The 7,868-nt window shown below is 39.5% G+C and overlaps 1 long non-coding RNA gene across 1 annotated transcript; it reads right to left on the reverse strand.

Annotated features, from left to right (window-relative positions):
* Positions 1–533: 533 nt before the first annotated feature.
* Positions 534–3,170, reverse strand: LINC02530 (long intergenic non-protein coding RNA 2530). Its single transcript, NR_149140.1, has 2 exons — positions 2,870–3,170; positions 534–1,273 (listed from the first exon to the last, which is right to left on the reverse strand). It is a non-coding gene; the product is annotated as a long intergenic non-protein coding RNA 2530 (long non-coding RNA).
* Positions 3,171–7,868: the final 4,698 nt, after the last annotated feature.

Raw genomic sequence — 7,868 nt, forward strand, 5'->3', positions numbered from 1 at the left:
ATTGTCAATGTCAAGAACACGGTGACTGTGGCTTGTTTATTATGCTAGGAGGAGTCTTCTATGTTGTATTGTTTGTGTGGTATGAAGTGACATTGTATGCCTGCTGTCCCTCTGGGACCCTCATGAAAAGGAGGTATTTATGTCCCTGCCTGTGCCCGTAAATGAATTGCCCCCTAAAGTAAATATAATATATAAAGCTATGTCTGGCTCCAAAGTCATGCTATGTGCCTCCCTCTGGCTATAGAGGAAGTTACTCTTGCTTATCAGAAGGCCAAATTTGGCGTGGCATTATTAGGTTGCAGGCAATATGGTAATGGGACCCAGAGAAGTGGTTTTAACCAACAGAGAATGCCTCTGAGCCTGCTGGCTGCCAGGGGAAGTGTACATTACCTTACCCTTGAGCTCGGAGAACTTATGTAAATGCAAAGAGAAGTCAGATCCTTTGAGAATTGGCATCATATCACTAGTTCGTGCAGGGGAAGTGGTTAAAGACATCAATGTGAAAATACATTTTCACTTCCATGGCATGGAAGTTGGAAAAACTAGAATTTATTTTACTTTCTTGCTCTAAATCAATCAGGAATTACTAAGCTCCCATGAGGAAACCAAATATGCAGGAAGTTAGCCACTTGACATGACTGCGGCCACATTTCAAGCTAGACAATGAGACAGGACAATAGAGAAGGAAAGTCAGGTTGAAATTATATGGCTTCATGGCTGAACAATGCCATTTATTTCCTCTTCCTGATGCACAGCTTCTGCCCATGAGCCATCAGTTCTATCCAATTCTTTTCTATTTCTCCAGGTTCTTCAGAATATTTGTGTCTGATGTCAGTTGTTAGTTCAATTGCATTGTTAGAGTTAAATAACATTGCTTTGAAGCCATGAACATATGGATTAAAATGCAGACTCTGCTGCTTGCTGGCTCTGTGGCTTTATACGGCCTTTCTGAGCCCTGCTTGTTTTATGAAAACATCATACAATCTATATTAAAAGTTAGATGGGCCTGGCATGGTGGCTCACGGCTATAGTCCCAGCACTTTGGAAGGCTGAGGCCAGCAGATCACGAGGTCAAGAGATCAAGACCAGCCTGGCCAACATAGTGAAACCTCGTCTCTACTAAAAAGACAAAAAATAACTGCTCATGGTGGCGTGCACCTACAGTCCCAGCTACTCGGGAGGCTGAGGCAGGAGAATCGCTTGAACCCGGGAGGCAGAGGTTGCAGTGAGCCGAGATTGCCCCACTGTACTCCAGCCTGGTGACAGAGAGAGACTGTCAAAAAAAAAAAAAAAGTTAGATGACACCTGAAACACAGAGTAGTTTCATGGAAAGTGAAGATTTGAAAGCAGATCATCATTATAAGATATGAGAAAAACAACTCATCAAAAATATTTTAAGAGAAAGCATTATTTTAAGAGAAAGCATTAAACTGAGGTATATTTTGTTAATTACTATCCTAAAACTTTTAGTGCTTACCACGTGTAATGTGTTGGCATAATAGAAGACATAATTTCTCCCAAAGGCGTCAAACTTGTCCTTGATACTCAAGTGAAGATATTGGTCAGATGTTACTGATTTTAATTTAAAATTCAGAAATAGAAATATGCCAGGCACTGTGGCTAATGCCTATAATCCCAGCACTTTAGGAGGCAAGGCGGGAAGATCACTTGAGCCTGGAAGATTGAGGCTGAAGTGAGCTATGATTGCACCACTGCACTCCAGCCCAAGCTAGAGAGAGAGAGAGAGAGAGAGAGAGAGAGACTCCATCTCAAAAAAAGAGAGAGAGAGAGACCCCATCTCAAAAAAAAAGAGAGAGAGAGAAAATAAAGTTTCAGAAAGACTTCTGAATCTTAAAAAATTAAACATAAGTCTATGAAAACATAAGCAATAGTCTCATACTATTGTATGAGTGGTCTCTTCTTTTCTTTCTCTCCCAAGGATATCCTTCTCAGCCTAAAACACTTTTGTCGACACTTCGCCCAATATCCATCACATTTTACATCTGCTAAGAATTTTAACTTTTATTGTCAGTTTAACCAACAATTCAATAATATAGAAAGCGGAAGAATCAGGATTGATTCAGCCAATTCAAACTTTACATACTGAGGCATTTGCAGCAAATCTAGTAAACATCTTTGGATTTTCCAGAAACTTAAAGCAGTCTATTTGTTTGTGTCTCCCTGTTTTGTTTTGTTTTTTTTTTTTTTGAGGTGGGGGTCTCGCTCTGTTGCCCAGGCTGGAGTTCAGTGGTGCAACCATAGCTCACAACAGCCTCCGCCTCCCGGACTCAAGTGATCCTCCTACCTCAGCCTCCTGAGTAGCTGAGACCACACGTTTCATTCACCATATCATCTCAAAGCTTAAATAAGAGCCTGTCAAGCACCAAATAAAGTTGGAGTAGGAAGAGTGGTGTCAAACTTTTGAAGAGAAAGTTTTAAACTGAGCATTCCAAGAAATAACTGGTGTTTTCTCTTCCTCTTGCTGATTGGAGAAACTGAAGGATGGAGCAATTAAAATTTCCCAACCCCATTCAGTGGAAAAGGAAACATACTGTGGAAAGAATTGCTAGCAATTGTAGTCAGTGTCCATCTCTATGGATTTGGCGTGGAAATTCACATTACAACAAGTGAAAAACAACTCACGGTACCCTCAATACAATGGGCATCGATTCTGCTTCCCTTGGTGATTTAAAAACAAATCTGGATCTGGATATATGTGCTTTAGAAAATGCAATTTGTCGACTTGGTTGTTACTATATGGCATTTGTAGAGCTTGACTTAGGCTTGTCTTAAAAAAAAAGCTTCTTAAAACTGTATGCCTTTATCAGAAGTCGCCCCTCGGCTATTTACAAGTGCCATGGTTACAGACCTGCTAGACTGATGATATTCACATGCAGGAAACAATGCAAGGAAAACAGGATTTGCACGGCTCCGACTGCACTGGCCCAAGAATTCCAGGAAGTGATTGTACTTTATGAAACCGTCTGTGCTCCGCTAGATTGTCTATAGCTTTTAAGGTCAAGTCCTATCACGGCGAGTTTGCAATGCCCTTTGTAACAAGGCAGAGTGTTTATGAAGCTGAGTACATGCTGTATTGTTTATCAGCCCAGGCAGTTGAAAGGTGCGATATTCCAATCTTGTGGTTCAGGATGGCACTGGGAATCGATCACAGGCTTTTCTGACATAGGCTTGGGATTAGTTCAAAGAGTCCCTGGCAACAGTGACCATGCGACAGTCCAGCACATGGAGAAAGTCACGAAGCCCACAGTCCCTGACAGGAGAGATGGGTTTGTGTGGGAGATCAATGTGGGGAGCACTGTGAGTTTATGTTTTAAGATCCCTGTGCTTCCTGCTGTAGCTGAGCAGTCTCCTTGGAGAGTGAAAGGTGCTGGCGTACAGTAACTGCTGATTCTGAGAGTACGGAAAGGAGAGTGAGACAACAATGGAATTTATTTCTTCGTAAGAGAGCTGGGAGGCAGCCAGGCATTCCAGGCCCTTGCTCTCGAATTCTTTGATTTCTCTACATGCATAATGACTAGAGACTCCTGTTGCCTCTGGACTCGGGGATACTGGAGCCGGACAGTGGACGCCCAAACCGCTCATGTTACTCCACAGCCCTGCCTAATTTTAGGCGCCAAGGCTGGACGTGACTGACCAGACTCCTGCTCGCTCCCTCTCCACGAATGATGTTGGTCCCTGAAGCTAGGTTAAACAAGCAATAGTCCACAGCTATTGTTAAGGACGCTGTCGTGATGGAATCAGCTGGGCACTGGGCATCCTTTGCACTCGGAGTGATGGCGGCTAGCCAGGCATCTGTGAACTTTCTGGAGACATTTAGGTGTTGTGTACCAAAGTCACGGCACCTTAGGGGCAAGCATGATCCCCCAGTGTTTTCAGATGCGTGGACTGAATGAACCTCAGTGAGTGACTGCTGATGTCAAATCAATCAATATCGATTTAATGAAGTCTGTTAGTTTATAAGTCAAGTGACTTGCCATTAGGGACTGTTTCCTCAAGGATGACAAAATAAATAACAACAATGAAATACTTTTTATCCAGTTACCACGTTCTGTGCCCCATACTGGCTTTTGAAGATCTGGCTTTGCAATGTAGCGTTGTATTTTATTGACTGAATTTTATTTTATTTCTAAATTCATAGGCATCTTGAGGTTCATCACTTCATAGGTACTCTGGACTAACATCACATAGTTATCAAGCCTTTTAATAAAACTGTTATTTTTTTCTAGTAGACTCAATAGAGGACCATTGTTGGATGTCTTATAGGCATAACTACCTCATAAAGGGTTGCTAATTACTGGCCAAAACACTTAACTAAATAAAAATTAAAAGTTCCACTCATCAGGTAAGAAGAGTCCTGAAACCTGTGTTTTGGTCTTGACTCTCCCATTAACTCCTAGGAAATTTTACCTCCCCCAGTGACAGACATTGGGATAATCATTCCCTGCCCCTTTGTTTTTCCTCTGCAAAAAGAGGTGCTTTAAATATGTAATTGATCTCTAGGGGATTTCCCATCTATGAAGATTGAATCTCTAACACTCGGCCTGTAAGTCAGAAGACTCAGAGGTGTTTGAACCAGAGCAACTCCATCTCGAATAGGAGCTGGGTAAAATAAGGCTGATACTTGCTGGGCTGCATTCCTACTAAGTTAGGCATTCTAAGTCATAGGATGAGATCGGAGGTCGCACAAAATACAGGTCATAAAGACATTGCTGATAAAACAGGTTGCAGTAAAAAAAGCCTGCCAAAACCCACCCAGTCAAGACAAGAGTGACTTCTGGTTGTCCTCACTGCTACACTCCCACCAGCACTGTGATAGTTTACAAATGCCATGGCAACATCATGAAGTTACCCTATAGGGTTTAAAAAGGGGAGGCATGAATAACCCACGCCTTGCTTAGCATATCATCAAGATATAACCATAAAAATGGACAACCAGTAGCTCTCAGAGCTGCTCTGCTTCTGTACGCCATTCTTTTATTCCTTTACTTTTTTAATAAACTTGCTTTCACTTTACTCTATGGATTCACCTCAAATCCTTTCTTGCGCAAGATCCAAGAACCCTGTCTCGTGGTCTGTTACCCCTTTCCGGTAACATTTAGAGAGGGAAAGTGAAAGCTTCCTAGGAGAAGTAGGAAAGTAGAAAAACAAAGGAGGAAAAAAAAAAAACAAAGTATGAAAATTTGAGGAGAAATACTGCTATAGGGAGAAAAATAATTAATAATTATTTACTTTGTAAATATAAAGTATTATTTTTAATACTTTTTTCACATTTATTAAATCCTTAGAAAAATTCTAGGAATTTGATATTATGATTTTTTAATGAACAAATAAGGAAACTGAAGTTTGTAAAGTCTTTTTTTTTTTTTTTTTGAGACAGAGTCTTGCTCTGTTGCCCAGGCTGGAGTGCAGTGGCATGATCTCTCAGCTCACTGCAAACTCCACCTCCCGGGTTCAAGCGATTCTCCTGCCTCAGCCTCCCGAGTAGCTGGGATTACAGGCACCCACCACCACACCCAGCTAATTTTTATATTTTTAGTAGAGACGGGGTTTCACCATATTGGCCAGACTGGTCTCGAACTCCTGACCTCAGGTGATCCACCCGCCTCAGACTCCCAGAGTGCTGGGATTACAGGCGTGAGCCACCTCGCCCGGCCTGTAAAGTCGTTAAATGACATGCCAAAGATACATTTGATTAAGAAGTTGAGTCTAAAACAAACCAAGCTCTTGGGCTCCAAAACTAGGGCCCCTAAAAGGATCCACCTGCAAAGGAGGAAGTGTCTAATTGGAAAGAGGATGAACTAAAAGCACATTCAGTCTTGGTTTTTCTAGCTATACCTACAATGTTCAGTCTTCTCTGTTTCAGGTAGCATAAATACAAAAGGCCATGGGCCTTGCGTAAGAACGTTTTCTGATTTTAAACGTGCTAATTTTATTTTTTACCCTGTTAAGGTATGTATACATGAGAGGGAAAGGAAATTATGGAGTTATTTATTTGAGGTGTATCTAAGTTTTTTTAAAAGTACATTAGAAATTATGAAAACTGTACTCTATGCCCTAATGCTCTCAACACATTATCAGATTATGTAAATAAATACCTGGGCAAACTGCTTTATTTATTCAATGTTTATGCAGTTAGAGTTAAGAAAAATGCTATCTTTAGGCTTGGCATGGTGGTGCATGCCTGTAGTCCCAGCTACTCAGGTGGCTGTGACAGGAGGATTGCCTGAGCCCAGAGGTTCATGTCCAGCTTGAGTAACATAGCAAGACCCCATCCCTCTCACTTAACAAAAAGCTATATTTAAAAATTATAGGAGGCAACAATAGCAGTTATCAGAGAAAAAAATTGTTTATAGTTCTTACATTAGAAAAGAGGAAAGTCTTAAAATTGAGTGAACTAAATACCCAACCTAAAACAATTGAAAAAGAACTGCACAATAAACCCAAAGAAAGGGAAAAAAAGATAATAGAAATAAGTACAAAAACAAATAAAACAGAAAGTAAAATTTCAAAAAGCTAAAAATTGTTCCTTAAAGCGATAAATGTCTGGTGATATTTACCCCCCAAAAAGGAAAAAATATGAAAACAAATAGCATTAGGCATAAAAGAGAGAAGATACTTATTCTTTCCATAGATATTAGAAAGGAAAAAAAAAGAATATTATGAACAACTTTAGGCCAACAAGTTGTGAACAGATGAAATATATGTATTTGTAGAAAATATTACATAAAAATAACTTAAGAAAAACTAGAAATCCCCTGTATAGTAAAATCTAATTCAATCTGTAGTTAAAAATCTTGTCACACAGGAAATAATGTGCCAGAAGAGTTTACTCATGCTACCAAATATTTCTTACATAAATTCAAGAACAGAAAAAAAGGAACACTTCCAAGCATATTTTATGAGAGTTGTATAACCTTGATATAAATGCTAGCCAAGGACAGAACAAAATAGGAAAACTACAGATCAGGATTATTGTAATTCACTACTTTAACAAGTTAAAAGAGATTAAACCATATAATTACATCTATAGTTGCAAAAAAGATGTTCAATAAAATCAATAAACATTAATGATAATACTTTCATAAAAGTAGAAAGAAAATGAGTAAAAAGACTTAGAAAGGAAATGTCTTTAACTTCATAAAGAAGACCTACAAAACTCTAGGGCAAATACGATATATAATAGTAAAAGTTACAAGTATTCTTTTTAAGATCATGAACAAGACAAGGATGACCAGTCTTACAACTTCTTTTTCACACTGCAGTTGAAGTCTCAACTATCAAGACAAAACAAGAAAAAGAGAAGTTCTAAGAATTACTAGGAAAGAAATCAACTTCTTCTTGTTGCTATATTATTATTATTATTATTTGAGACAAGATCTCACTCTGTGGCCCAGGCTGGAATGGAGTGGTGCCATCGTAGCTTACTGCAGCCTTGCTTCTGGGCTCAAGCGATTCTCCCACCTCAGCCTCCCAAGTAGCTGGGACCCCAGGCATATGCCACCGTGCCTGGCTACTGTTTATTTTTGTAAGGACAGGGATCTCCATATGTTACCCAGGCTGGTCTCTAACTCCTGGACTCAAGCAATCCTTCCACCTCAGCCTCCCAGAGTGCTGGGATTACAAGCATGAGCCATCACACCCAGCTCAACCTCTCATTATTAACAGGTGATATTGTTTAAACAGATAAATATCAGCAAATAAATAAATTAAGAAAATTGACAAATTAGTGAATAAACAAAAGCAATTTTATATATATATCAAAAAATTCAGATAGAAAATGTACTTTAAGATATCTTTTACAAAAGTCATAAATTATATAAAATACATAAACACACAGGAATAAATCT

The sequence above is a fragment of the Homo sapiens genome, chromosome 6, assembly GCF_000001405.40.
Source record: "Homo sapiens chromosome 6, GRCh38.p14 Primary Assembly".
NCBI lineage: Eukaryota > Metazoa > Chordata > Mammalia > Primates > Hominidae > Homo > Homo sapiens.